This window comes from Homo sapiens, chromosome 2 (assembly GCF_000001405.40).
Source record: "Homo sapiens chromosome 2, GRCh38.p14 Primary Assembly".
Lineage (NCBI taxonomy): Eukaryota > Metazoa > Chordata > Mammalia > Primates > Hominidae > Homo > Homo sapiens.
Window position 1 is genome coordinate 97,407,909 of NC_000002.12, and position 18,427 is coordinate 97,426,335.

Sequence of the window (18,427 nt, forward strand, 5' to 3'; positions counted from 1 at the left end):
TTACAGATGCTAGATATTAGACCTTTGTTAGATGCATAGTTTGCAAAACTTTTCTCTCATTCTTTAGGTTGTCCGTTTACTCTGCTGTTAGTTTCTTTTGCTGTGCAGAAGCTCTTTAGTTTAATTGGATCCCATTTGTCAATTTTGGCTTTCGTTGCAATTGCTTTTGGCATCTTTGTCATGAAATCTTTGCCCATGTCTATGTTCCGAGTGGTATTGCCTAGGCTTTCTTCTAGGATTTTTATAGTCTGGGGTTTTACATTTAGGTCTTTAATTCATCTTGAGCTGATTTTTATATAAGGTGTGGGGCTGGAGTCCAGTTTCAATTTGCACATATGGCTAGCCAGCTTTCCCAGCACCATTTATTAGAGAATCCTTTCTCCATTGCTTGTTTTTGTCGGGTTTGTGAAATATCAGATTGCTGTAGGGGTGTAGTCTTATTTCTGGGTTCTCTATTCTGTTCCATTGGTCTATGTGTCTTTTCTTGCACCAGTGCCATGCTGCTTTGGTTACTGTAGACCTGTAGTATAGTTTGAAGTTGAAGAGCATGATGCCTCCAGATTTTTCTTTTTGCTGAGAATTGCCTTGGCTCTTCAGGCTCTCTTTGGGTTCCACATGAATTTTAAAATATTTTTTTTTCTATTTCTGTGAAGAACTTCCATGGTAGTTTAATGGGAATAGCATTGGATCAATAAATTATTTTGGGCAGTATGGCCGTTTTCATAATATTGATTCTTCCTATACATGAGCATGGAATGTTTTTCCATTTGTATCCTCTCTGATTCCTTTGAGCAGTGGTTTGTTGTTCTCTTTGTAAAGGTCCTTCACTTCACTTGTAACCTGAATTACTAGGTACCTTATTCTTCTTGTAGCAATTGTGAGTGGGAGCTCACTCATGATCTGGCTCTCAGCTTGATTGTTGTTGGTGTATAGAAATGCTATAACAATTTTTGCACATTAATTTTGTAACTTGAGACTTTGCTGAAGTTGCTTATCAGCTTAAGAAACTTTGGGGGCTGGGCGCGGTGGCTCATGCCTGTAATCCCAGCACTTTGGGAGGCCGAGGTGGGTGGATCATGAGGTCAGGAGACCAAGACCATCCTGGCTAACATAGTGGCTAACCCCGTCTCTACTAAAAATAGAAAAAATTAGCCAGACGTCGTGGCACACACCTGTAGTAGCAGCTACTCAGGAGGCTGAGGCAGGAGAATCGCTTGAACCCGGGAGGCGGAGGTTGCAGTGAGCCAAGATTGTGCCACTGCACTCCAGCCTGAGCGACACAGCAAGACTCCATCCCAAAATAAATAAATAAATAGCTTTTGGGCTGAGATGATGGGGTCAAACAGGGATAGTCTGACTTCCTCTCTTCCTACTCAAATACATTTTATTTCTTTCTCTTGCCTAATTGCCCTGGCCACAACTTCCAATACTATATTGAATAGGAGTGGTGACAGAGGGCATCTTTGTGTCAGTTTTCAAGGGGAATGCTTCCAGCTTTGGCCCATTCAGTATGATATTGGCTGTGGGTTTGTCATATATGGCTCTGATTATTTTGAGGTACGTTCCTTCAATACATAGTTTATTGAGAGTTTTTAACATGAAGGTTGTTAAATTTTATCAAAGCCTTTTCTGCATCTATTGACATAATCCTGTGGCTTTTGTCTTTAGTTCTGTTTATGTGATGAATCACATTTATTGATTTGTGTATGTTGAACCAACCTTGCATCCCAGGGATGAAGCCTACTTGATCACGGTGGATAAGCTTTTTGATGTGCTGCTGGATTCGGTTTGCCAATATTTTATTGAGGATTTTTGCATCAATGTTCATCAAGCATATTGGCCTGAAGTTTTCTTTTTTTTGTTGTATCTGTGCCTGGTTTTTGGTATCAGGATGATGTTGGCCTCATACAATGTTAGGAAGGAGTCCCTCCTTTTCAATTGTTTTGGAATATTTTCAGCAGGAATGGTACCAGCTCTTCTTTGTACATTTGGTAGAATTGAGCTGTGAATCTGTGTGGTACTGGGCTTTTGTTTTTTTTTTTTTCTGGTTGGTAGGCTATTTATTATTGCCTCAATTTCAGAACTCATTATTGGTCTATTCAGGGATTCGATGATTCAATCTTGGAAGGGTGTATGTGTCCAGGAATTTATCCATTTCTTCTAGATTTTCTAGTTTATGTGCATAGAGATGTTTATAATATTCTCAGATGGTTGTATTTCTGTGGGGTCAGTGGTAATATCACCCTTATTATTTCTGATTGTGTTTATTTGAATCTTCTCTCTTTTCTTCCTTATTAGTCTAGCTAGTGGTCAATCTATTTTATTACTTTTTTTCAAGAAACCAGCTCCTCGATTCATTGATCTTTTGAATGTTTGAGTGTGTGTGTGTGTGTGTGTGTGTGTGTCCCTATCTTCTTCAGTTCAACTCTTATTTTGGTTGATTCCTGTCTTCTAGATTTGAGGTTTGTTTGCTCTTGGTTCTCCAGTTCTTTTAGTTGTGATGTTAGGTTGTTAACTTGAGATTTTTCTAGCTTTTGAATAAGGTCATTTAGAGGTATAATTTCCCTCTTAACATTGCCTCAACTGTGTCCCAGAGATTCTGGTACATTGTCTCTTTGTTCTCATCGGTTTCAAAGAACTTCTTGATTTCTGCCTTAATTTCATTATTTAGCCAGGAGTCATTCAGGAGCAGGCTGTTCAATTTCCATGTAGTTGTGGGACACTTCTGAGCTTCATGAGCTCTTGTAAAGTTGGTCTGGTGGTAACAAATTTTCTCAGCATTTGCTTGTCTGAAAAGGAGCTTATTTCTCCTTTGCTTATGAAGCTTAGTTTGGCTGGATATGAAACTCTGGCCTGGAGTTTATTTTCACACATTCACTCATCACTTCCCTGCGCAGGCGAAGGGGTTCCCCTTGGCTCTTTGTCGCTTCTGGGTGGGCTGTCACCCTGCCCGGCTTTTTTCCATTCTCCATGGGTGGAGCTGTTTTCCTGATCAGTTCCAATGTGAGTACTTGGATATTTCAGTTGAAGGTGCTGTGTTTACTCATCCCTCTCATTCTTTTCTGTGAGAGCCATGCACCATAGCTGCTTCTAGTTGGCCTTCTTGGCCCCCTTCTGGCTGAGCCTAATTCTGTGTAATAGAGGTTGTACATAGATATGCCCTAGAAACACAGATTATAGAGAAGGATCATACAATATGATCATACAATATGATCCTTACATATGCACATACACGTGTAATATGGCTTTGCATGTGTCATGCATCAGTCAAAATTATTCTGTTTTTTACTTCAGGGTATTTTGACTATAGTGTTTCATATGTGTTTCTATTTTTCTCTGTATCACCATTTTAGATCATTGAATGGACTGCTGGGCTAGACCTGGAAAATTCTTCTGCCAAGTGTACTATATGTCTAGGTTCATGTCACTGTGTGATATCGGTGTCCTTGTGACAACTGTAGGGGGATATAAGAGCAACAGTGAAATAAAGTCATCTCTCACAGCTGGCATGTATATTCCTATAAATTTATGTGAACAGGAAAATAGACACAAATTGGAACCATGGAATTCAAAAAACGGTCTCTTAAATGAAGTCACAGAAACTACTTGGAAATTTAATTTAAAATGTTGAACTCTGTCCTCAATTGTATGCACCTCTGCACAACAGGTCTATCTTGTGGAAGGGCAAGGTATTTCTTCTCACATTTTTTTTCCTTCTGTCTTCTAAAGAGCTTCATGTGAAAGCAGAAGACTCATGAGAAGACATCTAGAGACTAGCCCTAAAGTGCTTTTCTCCACAGGAATGTCACCCAGGCACTACATCCAGGAGTCTCAGGTGCCACTGGGTTCCCATCCTCAGTGACGCAGAGCTGGGAGAAGGCACGCAGCATTCAAATTTCCTTCAAGTCACTTGCTTAAGGTATACATTGAAGGTTCAAACTAAATTTGAAATCCTTTTTTTGTTGTTTTTTACAATTAGCACTTTTTTGTTATTTTTTTATATATTTTTTATTATACTTTAAGTTCTAGGGTACATGTGCACGACGTGCACGTTTGTTACATATGTATACATGTGCCATGTTGGTGTGCTGCACCCATTAACTCGTCATTTACATTAGGTATATCTCCTAATGCTATCCCTCCCCCATACCTCCAGCCCACAACAGGACCCAGTGTGTGATGTTCCCCACCCTGTGTCCAAGTGTTCTCATTGTTCAATTCCCACCTATGAGTGAGAACATGTGGTGTTTGGTTTTTTTTCCTTGTGATAGTTTGCTGAGAATGATGGTTTCCAGCTTCATGCATGTCCCTAAATAGGACATGAACTTATCATTCTTTATGGCTGCATAGTATTCCATGGTGTATATGTGCCACATCTTCTTAATCCAATCTATCATTGATGGACATTTGGGTTGGTTCCAAGTCTTTGCTATTGTGAATAGTGCCACAGTAAACATACGTGTGCATGTGTCTTTATAGCAGCATGATTTCTAATCCTTTGGGTATATACCCAGTAATGGGATGGCTGGGTCAAATGGTATTTCTAGTCCTAGATCCTTGAGGAATCACCACACTGTCTTCCACAATGGTTCAACTAGTTTACAGTCCCACCAACAGTGTAAAAGTGATCCTATTTCTCCACATCCTCTCCAACACCTGTTGTTTCCTGACTTTTTAATGATCGTCATTGTAACTGGTGTGAGATGGTATCTCATTGTCGTTTTGATTTGCATTTCTCTGATGGCCAGTGATGATGAGCATTTTTTCATGTGTCTGTTGGCTGCATAAATGTCTTCTTTTGAGAAGTGTCTGTTCATATCCTTTGCCCACTTTTTGATGGGGTTGTTTGTTTTTTTCTTGTAAATTTGTTTGAGCTCTTTGTAGATTCTGGATATTAGCCCTTTGTCAGATGAGTAGATTGCAAAAATTTTCTCCCATTTTGTAGGTTGCCTGTTGACTCTGATGGTAGTTTCTTTTGCTGTGCAGAAGCTCTTTAGTTTAATTAGATCCCATTTGTCAATTTTGGCTTTTGTTGCCATTGCTTTTGGTGTTTTAGACATGAAGTCTCTGCCCATGCCTATATACTGAATGATATTGCCTAAGTTTTCTTCGAGGGTTTTTATGGTTTTAGGTCTAACATTTAAGTCTTTAGTCCATCTTGAATTAATTTTTGTATAAGGTGTCAGGAAGGGATTCAGTTTCAGCTTTCTACATATGGCTAGCCAGTTTTCCCAGCACCATTTATTTAATAGGGAATCCTTTCCCCATTTCTTGTTCTTGTCAGGTTTGTCAAAGATCAGATGGTTGTACATGTGTGGTATTATTTCTGAGGGCTCTGTTCTGTTCCATTGGTCTATATCTCTGATGGGACGTATCTCAAAATAATAAGAGCTATTTATGACAAACCCACAGCCAATATCATACTGAATGGGCAAAAACTAGAAGCATTCCCTTTGAAAACTGGCATAAGACAGGGATGCCCTCTCTCGCCACTCCTATTCAACATAGTGTTGGAAGTTCTGGCCAGGGCAATCAGGCAGGAGAAAGAAATAAAGGGTATTCAATTAGGAAAAGAGGAAGTCAAATAGTCCCTGTTTGCAGATGACATGATTGTATATCTAGAAAACCCCATTGTCTCGGCCCAAAATCTCCTTAAGCTGATCAGCAACTTCAGCAAAGTCTCAGGATACAAAATCAATGTGCAAAAATCACAAGCATTCTTATACACCAATAACAGACAGAGAGCCAAATCATGAGTGAACTCCCATTCACAATTGCTTCAAAGAGAATAAAATACCTAGGAATCCAACTCACAAGAGACGTAAAGGACCTCTTCGAGGAGAACTACAAACCACTGCTCAATGAAATAAAAGAGGACACAAACAAATGGAAGAACATTCCATGCTCATGGATGGGAAGAATCAACATTGTGAAAATGGCCATACTGCCCAAGGTAATTTATAGATTCAATGCCATCCCCATCAAGCTACCAAAGACTTTCTTCACAGAATTGGGAAAAACTACTTTAAAGTTCATATGGAACCAAAAAAGAGCCCGCATTGCCAAGTCAATCCTAAGCCAAAAGAACAAACCTGGAGGCATCATGCTACCTGACTTCAAACTATACTACAAGGCTACAGTAACCAAAACAGCATGGTACTGGTACCAAAAGAGAGATAAATTGGAAATCTAACAGAAGCATTTAGAACTACATGTCAAGCCCAAGTCACTTTTAGATATTTGAGAATGTGTACAAACCATATGGGTGTACTTTCCCCAAAAGTGTGTTTTTTGCAGTAGTGGTTAGGAGTATTCTTTTGTGAGATGGTATTTTTCTTAAGCAACCACCATTTAGATTCTTAGTTCTCTTAACTTTTAGGTTAACAACTCAATACATCTTCCAAGTGTCCTCGTATACTTTTTCCGGTTTGACTATTAGTTTAGGTGGTGCCTATGGCCCATTTAAACTCAGAGACTCTGAGGCTCTGATGTGTATCCATCTGGTTAGAGTATGTATGAGTAAAGCCAAGGTCAGTCAATGACTTGACCTCACTACCTTTTCCAAAATTTCTAGTTCTAACATTGGCTAGCAATTTTGAATGCTTGTCAGACAAATACCTCAGAGTCCTTGCCCTGCTAATGCAGTCATTATTAAGAGTGAAAATTACATTGTGTTGCCTTATTTAATGATGTAATGCTGAATAAGCATTTATAGAGCACCTATTCTGGGAAAGATTAAAAATATACAAAGTGATAATAAATGGTCTCGTCTTAAGAAGCTTAAGAGGAAATATGACATATTAACAAGTTGCCATGAATTAAGGCATCATATAATAATACAATAAGAGAGTATAAACTATTTTAATAAACATGTTCTACAAAATGGAGCATTTGGATCCTGAAAGGGGGCTAGAATTTAAAAGTATGAGTTGAGAGAGAAAGCATTCCAGTCAGAGGTACCAGCAGAAAAAGTAGCTCTGAGACAGGCATTGGAATTATCAAATATATTTTTCTTCAAATTTTATGAAAGTATGCTTATCCATGAATGCTGAAGTGCTTATCTATGTCAACATTTTGTTAAAGAGTTACTCAAGCTCAGAAAATATAGGGAAATTTTATTTATATTTTCTCAGAAAATATATTTATTTAATTTAATTTATTTTCTCAGAAAATATATTTATTTCTATATTTTCTCAGAAAATATATTTATTTCTATATTTTCTCAGAAAATATATTTATTTCTATATTTTCTCAGAAAGTATATTTATTTCTATATTTTCTCAGAAAGTATATTTATTTCTATATTTTCTCAGAAAGTATATTTATTTCTATATTTTCTCAGAAAGTATATTTATTTCTATATTTTCTCAGAAAATATATTTATTTCTATATTTTCTCAGAAAATATATTTATTTCTATATTTTCTCAGAAAATATATTTATTTCTATATTTTCTCAGAAAATATATTTATTTCTATATTTTCTCAGAAAATATATTTATTTATATTTTCTCAGAAAATATAGAAAATATAGGGAATTTTTAGTTTATATTCTTTGATTTTACCATGAATCTGAATTTCTGTTATTTAATTGTTTAAATAGTTACTATAATTTTTGTGTTAAAGATAACACATTATAGAATATCTAATTTACTTATCACCTTCAGGAAAATCAAATAAGCATTTGTGAAGTGTCAACTATTTTCTCTGCAGTGGTGCTTTTCAAACTACCCAGAGTGAAAGACTTTTATTTTTTGTAAAATGTAAAATATTGTGGCAATGTCAGATTGCTATAAAAGGTTTTCAAATCTGTACTTCCAGGTACTTCAAAATTAGTTTGCAGATTAGTACCAGTGGTCTTAGTACAATTTGAGTAGCTACAGTAAGTAAGGAGTTCATACAAAAGAAATACAGCATATTGTCACCATCATTGGTATAAGAATGTTGTGGGGAGGACTAGGCTTACCTATGTAACCAGTGGAAAATGCAGCATATGGTACAATTACTAAAGATAAATATAGACATAAAGAAGAGCGATGATAAAACTGTTCTGGATCCCAGTTAAAATCTTTGGGGTTACTGCTTAACTCTCTGGACTCACAGCCCCGACCCACCATCCCCAATGTGCAGTTTCACTCATGGAAAAAAAGTGTCTAGACCAGCAGCTGAGGATGCATTTACTCTATGTTCAGCCCACTCAAAATACAGTTCTGTAATCAGAATACAAAAACAACCACCAACAACAACATCAGCCCAACTTTCTTTACTGTGTTTCATTTAATGCTGAAATCAGACAATGATTAGAACATGAAACTTTGTTTGAAAAAGTATATTCAATAAATTTTGTATTTAAAACAGAGCTCTTGACCTATAAAGTATAAAAAGTAATTACAATGAAATATTCTTCAGTAAATCTGACACTTTGGGATTCCAGGCAAAAGGATCGCTTGGGTGCCAAGAGTTCAAGACCAGCCTGGTCAACATAGTGAGATTCTATCTCTGAAAAAAAAAAAGAACAAAAAACAAAAGTTAAACAAATCAGTAAATCTGAGATGCACTGGTATAATTCACTGGCTTGCCCAGTTGGTACTCTCTTAGCCGTGGCTATTCCTGATGACTAACTGGCAGTAAAAGCCAGGAAATTATGGAGGTCTACTGAGGAGTCCCCTCTCGAAGTGAAGTTTTCCCATTATTTACACTTAAGAAAAAATTAATGTGAGATTGGATTTTAAACATCCCCATTAAAAACAGAGGAATGGAGGGAAGAAGGTGGGTGGGGAGGGAGAGAGAGAGCTGAATAAAACATTTACTTTATCATTTATCTTTTAAAGTCACATGGAATGCCAATTCCAAAATCACTTAATTTTTAGAACCACTGCAATCTAAACACTGTCATCAGAAACATGCCAAGTGTTGGTTCTCTGTGGTAGGTCTCCCATCTTACTTATATTTTCACTGTATTAAACTTTACCCTTGCATGGGTTTACCCTCCAGCCTCTGAGCCTTCATTAACTAGGACCCTATCTACCTGCATGTTTTGCTCTCCACTTTCTTTGCCATTCACTGGCCCCTTCTTTAGTGTTTGGTCTTCAGGTCGCCACTTTCCCTTTTAGCTAATTCCATTACTCTGATTTTCTCTGTTCCTTTAGCTACCCTATCCTAGAACAACTCTCCCAGGGATGAAAATGGGGACTTCAGAATTGAGAAATAAAAGGGAAGATGTTATGACAACCTTCCTATCTTATTTTTTGGTAAATCCACTCTTTCCCTGTCTCTATCTCTCTCTCACACACACACACACACACACTCACACACACACAGAAATTTACAGGGTAAGAGAGATTAGGAAGATAATTTTGGTGGTAGAGTCAAGAAGAGGTTGAAGAGGTGCTAATATTAAAAGAGAGATTTGAATAAAATGTTTTTAGAATTCATAGGCATTATGATATTCTATTGTAAAATGCTATTGGTTAAAATTATCTTTGTATGGGCAAACTGAGTCTCTGTCTCCAGCTGTCTGTGAACAAGCTATTCAGTTCACTAAACCTCAGCACCTCATCTGTGGAATGAGCACCATAGTAGCTCCTGTCATAAAGGTTAAATGATTTTGTAAAGGACAGATTACAAAGCATATATAAAGTATTTGATTTTTTGTTATTAAAATACTTATAATGTCTGTAATATTTTTGAAGTAAAGAGGTATAATGATTTATACTTCTGTTTATTCTAGAAACTGATTCTTAGTTGAGCTCGGAGGTTTTTCAACTTTTCTTTCAAATATTGAGATAAATAACATTGATCTATCTATTTATCTATCTATCTATTTTGAGATAGGATCCTACTTTGTCACCCAGGCTGAAGTGCAGTGGCCTTTGTCTTCCAGGCTCAGGTAGGATCCTCCTACCTCATCCTCCCAAATATCTGGGACTACCAGTGTGTGACACCACCCCCAGCTAATGTTTTTGATTTTTTTGTAGAGATGAGGTCTCACTATGCTGACAAAGCTGGTTTTGAACTCAAGTAGTCCTCGTGTCTTGGCCTCCCAAAATGCTGAGATTACAGGCATAAGCCACTGTGCCTGTACTTTTATTTTATGTAGATCACCATCCCTTACTGAGTATCACATAACTGTTATTATAAATCTTGAATAAGAGATTACATGTTTTGGCCAGGCACGGTGGCTCATGCCTGTAATCCCAGCAATTTTGGAGGCCAAGGTGGGCAGATCACCTGAGGTCAGGAATTCGAGACCAGCCTGGCCAAAATGGTGAAACCCCATCTCTACTCAAAATACAAAAAAAAAAAAAAAAAAAAAAAAAAAAAAAATTAGCCAGGTATGGTGGCACATGCCTGTAGTCCCAGCTACTGGGGAGGCTGAGGCAGAAGAATTGCTTGAACTCAGAAGGCAGAAGTTGCAGTGAGCTAAGACCATCCCACTGCACTCCAGCCTGGGCAAATGAGTGAGAATCCATCTTAAAAAAAAAAAAAGACTACATATTTCATACAGTATTCCAAAACCAAAAACAACACTATGCTTTGCTTTTCGTTACCATGAATCTATAAGTTATTAAGCTTTCAGTACTGCAAATATTGTCACATATTAACAGTTTGACTTGAAAATACGTGTAATTTCTACTAAAAATAGAAAAGAAAGGCCTTGTCTTTAGAAGCTTCCAAGGAACATTATAACAGAAGTTATATTTTCCACAATTTGGGTTCAATTAATCTTATATATTGCAATTGACTTAAATAAAATTTTAATTTTTGAACACTTTAAGGTTTACAGAAACATCGTGAAAATAGTATAATATTCCTGGTAAGTACCCAAACTCTGCTTTCTCTATTACTAAAATTTTATATTAGTGTGGTGCATTCATTACAATTAAGGCATCAATATTGTCATATTATTATTATCTAAAGACCATACTTGTTCAGAATTCCTCAGTTTTTATTTAGTTTCCATTTTCTGTTCTAGTGTACATCCTAGAATCTTATATTACATTTAGTCATTGTGAGACAGACTCCAGGTCAGTAAGTGCTGAAACAGGGGATGTTAAAAAAGAACCAACATAGATTACAAAAGGAAGACTCAAAGCTTCCAGAATGATTTTCTTTCTATCTAAAATCATTTTCTATCTTTCATCCTATCAGCACTCATAAATTACACACACTCATAACCTGCCACAATTTACTGGCAGATTGTGAAGCGGGAGCAGGCATGTCACACAGTGAAAGCAGGAACAAGAGAGTGAGGGGGGAGATACCACACACTTTTAAACAACCAGATCTTGTGAGAGCTCACCTGCTATCATGAGGAGTACCAAGGAGATAGTACTAAACCATTCATGAGAAATCCACCCTCCTAATCCAGTCACCTCCCTCCAGACCCCACCTACCACACTGGGGATTACAGTTCAACATGAGATTTGGGTGGGGACACAGATCCAAACTATATCACAGGGGTTTCCCTATGTTGCTTAGGCTGGTCTCAAACTCCTGGCCTCAAGTGATCTTCCTGCCTCAACCTTCCAACGTGCTGGAATTAGAGGTATCAGCCACCATGCCCAGCCAGAAATTTCTTTCTCAAGGGGCTTTTCATCTCACTGGAAATTTTAGTTTAGGGATCTCCCAACTTACAAAGGGTTTGTGTTCCAAAATTTTGTTTCTAAGTCAGGTAGGCTCACTTTCCTACAGAAAATGAGAAGAAGCCAGTCCCAAAGCAAGCAATAAAAGCCTGTTGCCTCACAAGTGAACTATGATGTTGCTAAATCCATCAGGAGTAGTTTTACTTTTGCTCTTTGTTGAATGGGCTACTGTGGGCCTGTGGGGGCACCTAACCACCATTTATCTTATTTCTTTGAAGCAGGTCATGCTGTCACGTGTGGTCAAAAGGGAATTAGTGATGATAATGGAGCTTTCTCTGCCTCTCTCCCTCTTGACTGCCAAGGTCCAGGGAAGTTCACATCTCAGTGGTCACGGGCTGGCCAAGTAGATCCCCACCAGTTGCTGGATAATGCCTGTGAACTACTGGCTAGCATCTATTCTGAAAACCTAGCTTCTGGTTTGCTTGTTTATTCACCAGTATCTCACATAATTTTCTTATGACCATCTGGCACCTAATATAGATCCCAAAAGAGTTTAAGAGGATTTACCCTTTAGGCAAAAAATACTGGCAGTGTTTATAATCCCCTCAAAAAGAGAGAGGGAGAAAAAAAGAAAGAAGAAATGTTTTTAAAGGAAGAGATAGCACCATGTAACTATAAATAACTCTCTATATCAGACTGAAAATAAATTTTTGTTTTTTCTTTATTTTGGCTCATTTGGTAAGCTAACAAACTGGAAGAAAAGAACCAGTTTTAACTAAACAACTCTAAAAGATTTCAGAATTTGAAAACTTAGAGTTATGAATAGATTTGATTCACTTAGCCCCAAAACTATCAAAAGAAGTATATAAAATATTAATAGTCACCAAAACCATTGAGCTATAGAATTCCAGATATTGAAATTCTAAGGAAATGTTGTTTTAGAATCAAATCATGTACTAGGCTGAAATTAAATCAAATACCATTACTGAGTATTGTTATTAGGATAAACATCTTTCCATACTTTGGTGAAATTGGAAATACTCTTGCAGAAGTGTTTTCATCTCTCACCCAGAAAAAGTAAATAATGACCTTCTTCCTTCTTCCACTTAATGTAATATCCTACATTTACATATATTGTGTCATCCCTTGTTTTGTGATTATTTGCTTACAGATTTTCTCTAGGTGCTCTCTAAGCAGAGAGAACAGGGTACTGGTTAAGATTGTAGATCTAGGGGATCACTGATCTAGGTCCTATTCCAAATTTGATTCCTCACCTGCTAAGCTTGCAAGTGCAACTTATTTAAATTCTCTGAAGGTTAAATGTTTCATCTAAATAGGGATAATAATAAACACCTATAGCATAGAGTTGTTTGAGATTAAATGAGATAATACATGTAAAATTATGTGCCTGGCATACAGCAAGATTGTTGTTGTTGTTGATGATGATGATGATGATGATAATATTTTTCTATCCCCAGTGCACAACTGCTTGAACCTATTAGATAATCAATACATGTTTCTTGAACTGAGATCAATTTCCCCATGTTGTCTGACTGATGAAGCCCTACATTGAAGCCCTACATTTTCTTCTAGAGGAGATGACATTTGAGCAAGATCTTAAAGAAAATCAGATGCCTTCACCTGACCACTGCTTGGTGATCCCATGGCACTTTGTACATCTCTCCATTAGCTCTCATCTCACCAGCCCATCATTATTGTATGTGCTGCCTTCTGAAGCTTGCAGCTGGCTACATCAGGTAGAATAAAATCATCCTTTCATAAAATAGTGACCTCCTTTTTTATTTGCATTTCCAAAGCCAAGCACGTGGTAGGTAGACAACAAATGCTTGCTCCTGGGCTGCGCTAAAGGCATCTATAACCACTAAGCCCAAAGAGTGTGGTGTCCCTTCAAAAGGAAGGAGCCAGTGTTTATATCACTTTTTCTTGACCTTCACGGCTGCACTCAAAGCCCACCTCCAGCATGAGGCACTATCCAGTCCAATCCACAGTGATCACTCCCTTTCTGAGTCCTTCTAGGAAATCAGACACAGTCATTTGAGGTGTGTGTTAGTAATCTTTCCTCAGATGCCCTGTGAGCTCTTTTGCACAGTACCAAGGCATGTAATAGGCAGGAAACGTATTTAATTGCTTGGCTTAGTTCTAGTTTTCAATGTGTACTTCTCCAGAATTATCCAATTAACCCTAACTTGAGAAGATAGGCAAACTGGATTTGCACACACTGGAGTCAATTCCTGATATCCCCGGGGGTGTGAATGAACAGAGGTCTTCTTGCTGGCTTCTGTAACAGTATCTCTCTTTGGCCAGCACCCAATTTTTGGAACCATTATGAGCACACAAAAACAGCATTTTACACAAATCAAGAAATAGCTCCCAACCATGTCTTTGTGGCATTGTTAAACAACAGTAAATTGTACTTTGAGTTCTATTTCATCTAATTAAATGAAATGAGAAGTGGGCTCAATTCCCCCAGAAAGAGACTGGAGGGAACCACAATCTTTCCTGTGATTAGATACACCACTAAGGAAATCTGACCCTGAGCAACTGAAAGCTGCCTATTCTCATTAAGAAGAGCTACAGACTGACCCTTTTCAAAGACTAGTAACTGGACACATTTCTTTCACAAATTATCTTCTTTTCCCTTCTTCATACCAGGAATTCTCAGGGATTATAATCCTCATCAATATAACAAGCCTCCAAAGTCATATTTTTTAACTTTGTGAAATGCCCTCCCACCTAACTACCCCATTTGACACCTGCAACCATCCTCTAGAGAGGCAGACAAGATCGACCGTCTCACTTTACAGAAGTGCAAAGAGTAGCTGGCCTAATGCCACAGCCAATGAACAGATGAAGGAGGCCTACAACCACCTAGTCTTCCCTACTTCTCCTCACTCCTCCCCTCTGACCTCCTTATGTCACCACTGACCAATGGATCACTGTGTGGCCGTTCAGCATCTTCCTATGCTGTGTCAGGCAAGAGAAATTCTGGAAAGAGAGCATCTCATGTTTATTAAGGAGACTGGGTGTCCTTGTAGAAAGTCCTGCCATGCACAACCCCGGTCTTAACTGATGTGTTTCACCATACTGAAGGCAAGTTGCCATCTAACATAGTTGAAGGGGAGCCAGTTGTGGTGATCTTTGTTCCTGCTGAAATATGGAAAGAAAATGAGGAAATGAGCTCATTTTCAAAGAAAATGAACATTCTTTCACATGAAAGAAATAGGAGCAAAGTGACAGGAGAGAAACAAAGCTTAGGGTTGGTGTGAGATACACAGACAGGGTGTTAGCCCCACAAACAGTGCTGCTGGGCCAAGTTAACTCCCTGTTTTTCCCTATATATGTGGTGTGGAAAAGCTATTTATAAAATGTGTTTAAATATTTAGGACCAAATAAATCAACATTGTTAGGAAACATTGACTCTGACCAGAACTCATTTCCTCACCCTAGTCCAATGTGAATAACAAAATGAAGAATATCAGGATGATTCGAGACCAGGAATACTACAGATGTCCAACACTTCCACCTGGAATCCCCAAAGAGGCCCGCTTTTAGCCTCCACACTGGTTGGTGACCTGACATGAGAGAAATGACAGAAATCTCAGAAGACTGGCCTCATGAATAATCTTCAGTTTCAATGTAACAAAGCAAGCCTTCTAGAAATTACCTGCCTCTGCAGTTCACTCTGCTGCTTCAGATGAAAATTTTCAGGTCTGTCTGCCACTGTAGTGAAGCACTGCTTTGGGTAGTGTCTGTGGAGAAACTTTTTAAAGGACATAGTTGAAATATTGTGCTACAAACCAATTCTTGAACACCACTCATTTTGTCCTACCTCTCTGTGACCGTGAAAGACGGCTGTGCTCTTGGCAAAGGTCATCTCTCTGTCATGAGTCTGGATCTCCTTTTCTTCTCCTGATTATCTGTCACTCAGTTATCCCCACTCTCTTCCACAACTTTAACTTCAGCTTCTCTATTCTAAGAGACTCTTCTCGCAGGCTCAAGGCTCTCCTACCCTCCATCATTCCTCCCTCTACCCCACACAGCCAGCATGTGTCCAGCTAGTCTATCCTTCAGCCAAACTTCCTTAGAAAGAGGCCTTACCTCACTGTCCCTACCCATCTACTCTCTGACTCACTTCTTAACTCCATGACTGGGTTCTGGTTTCTTTCCCTTGCCTGTTGTGACTTCCTATGGACACAGCCAAAAACCATCACATAGTCCTGTTGTATGGCATCCCCACCATCTTGAAATGTCCTCTCCCTCAGTTCCTATGTGTTACCACACACGCCTGCCTTGGCTTCTCCCTCTAGTTGTTCCTTCTCTGTCTTCTGTGGGCTTCTTATTGTCTGCTCACTCCTTCTTCAGTGTCCTCTCATGGGCTTCCTTCCCTTCTCAGCTGATGCCATCACCTGGGGAATCACAGTTACTCAGCAGCACTGGGGCCTCTCTATCTCTATGCTGGTCATGCCTATGTGTGAGCTGCAGACCCAGTGGAATTTCCATTTGTGCATCCCATGCCCAGCCCACCCTCCACCAGCCTCGAATGCAGCTGTTCAGCCCTACCCCAGTCCTCAGAAAAGTTCCTCTCCCTGGATCCCCTTTTTCCTTCATGAGTGCCCGGTTGCCCAAGTCAAAAACCTGGGAGTGATATAAACTCCCCACACATCCAGTCAGTCACTCATCAACTCTATTGATTCTGTCTGCTAAATATATCTCAATTGTATTAACTTAAACATATGCATAATACATCTTCTTCTTCACTGCATTTTTGTGGGCTGCACTTACCTTTCAGGTAACAACAACACTGGCCCCTCTTGCCCTTCTAGTCAGAAGTGCCAAAATGATGAGAGCTAGCCATGACAAACCCACAGCCAACATTACACTGAATGTGCAAAACTGGAAGGGCATCCAAACAGAGGAGGGAAGAGAGGAATAGACAGGAAGTCAAACTGTCTCTGTTTACAGATGACATGTTTCTATATCTAGAAAGCCCCATAGTCTTGGCCCCAAAGCTTCTTCTGCTGATAAACTTTAGCAAAGTCTTAGCATACAAAATCAATGTGCAAAAATTACTAGCAGTCCTATACATCAAGTCAAGCAGAGAGTCAAATGAAGAACACAATCCCATTCATAATTGCTACACACAGAAAAAATAAGATACCTAGGAATACAGCTAACCAGGGAGGTGAAAGATCTCTAGGAGATCTCTAGAAGAATTACAAAACACTGCTCAAAGAAATCAGAGAAGACACAAACAAATGGAAAAACATGTCATGCTCATGGATAGGAAGAATTAATGTCATTAAAATGGCTATACTGCCCAAAGTAATTTACAGATGCAAGTTATCCCTATTAAATTACCAACGGCATTCCTCACAGAACTAGAGCAAACTATTTCAAAATTCATATGGAACCAAAAAAAAGAGCCCTAATAGCCAAGCAATCCTCAGCAAAAAGAACGAAGCTGGAGGCATCATGTTACCCAACTTCAAACCATACTACAGGGCTACAGTAACCAAAACAGCATGATACTGATACAAAAACAGCTCATCATTTTGAGCTATGTTTCTTCAATACCCAGATTTTTTAGAGTTTTTAATATGGAGAGGCATTGAATTTTATTGAAAGCCTTTTCTGCTTATATTGAGATAACCACATGGTTTTTATCTTTAGTTTTGTTTATGTGATGAATCAGATTAATTGATATGTGTATGTTGAGGCAACCTTGCATCCTGGGGATGAAGCATACTTGATCATGATGGATTAACTTTTTGATGTGCTGCTGGATTTGGTTTGCCAGTATTTTGTTGAGGATTTTTGCATTGATGTTCATCGAGGGTATTGGCCTGAAGAGTGTGTGTGTGTGTGTGTGTGTGTGTGTGTGTGTGTGTGTGTGTGTGTGTGTCTGCCAGATTTTGGTATCAAGATGATGTTGGCCTCATAGAATGAGTTGGGGAGGAGTTCCTCCTCCTCAATATTTTCAAATAGTTCCTGTAAAAATGGTACCAGCTCTTCTTTGTATTTCTAGTAGAATATGACTGGGAATCCATCATGTTCTGGGCTTTTTTTGGTTGGTAGGTTATTTATTACTGATTCAATTTCGGAGCTTGTTATTGGTCTGTTTACAGCAAATCAATTTCTTCCTGGCTCAGTTGTGGGAGGGTGTATTTCTCCATGAATTTATCCATCTCTTTGAAGTTTTCTAGTTTGTATGCATAGAAGTGTTTGCAGTAGTTTCTGATGGCTGTTTCTATTTCTGTGGGGTCAGTGGTAACATTCCCTTTGTCATTTCTAATTGTGTTTCTTTCAATCATCCTCTGTATTAGTCTGCTAGCAGACTTTCTTATTAATATTTTCAAGAAACCTACCCGGAATTCATAGATCTTTTGAATTTCTTTTTTTCATGTCTCGGTTTCTTTCAGTTCAGCTCAGATTTTCAGTTATTTCTTGTCTTCCTCTAGCTTTGGGGTTTTGTCTTGCTTCTCTAGTTCTTTCAGTTGTGATGTTAGGTTATTAATTTGAGTTCTTCCTAACTTTTTGATGTGGGATTTAGTGCTATAAATTTCCCTCCTAACATTGTCTTAGCTGTGTCCAGAGGCTCTAGTATGTTGTAACTTTGTTCTCATTATTTTCAAAGAGCTTCTTGATTTCTGCCTTAATTTCATTATTTATTAAAAAGTCATTCAGGAGCATGTTGATTGATTTCCATGTAATTGCATGATTTTCAGCAATTTTCTTAGTCTTCTATTTTTACTGCACTGTGATCTCAGTATGTATTTGGTATGATTTCAGTTGTTTTGCATTTGCTGAGGATTGCTTTATGTCC

The 18,427-nt window shown here is 38.4% G+C and overlaps 2 long non-coding RNA genes across 2 annotated transcripts; one reads left to right on the forward strand and one right to left on the reverse strand.

Annotated features, from left to right (window-relative positions):
* The first annotated feature begins 3,886 nt into the window (after positions 1-3,886).
* Positions 3,887-13,367, forward strand: LOC107985920 (uncharacterized). The gene is made up of 2 exons (XR_001739602.2): positions 3,887-3,919; positions 13,177-13,367. It is a non-coding gene; the product is annotated as an uncharacterized LOC107985920 (long non-coding RNA).
* On the reverse strand, positions 8,257-16,119 carry APPAT (atherosclerotic plaque pathogenesis associated transcript). The gene is made up of 4 exons (NR_130704.1): positions 15,881-16,119; positions 15,269-15,364; positions 15,047-15,176; positions 8,257-8,497 (listed from the first exon to the last, which is right to left on the reverse strand). It is a non-coding gene; the product is annotated as an atherosclerotic plaque pathogenesis associated transcript (long non-coding RNA).
* Positions 16,120-18,427: the final 2,308 nt, after the last annotated feature.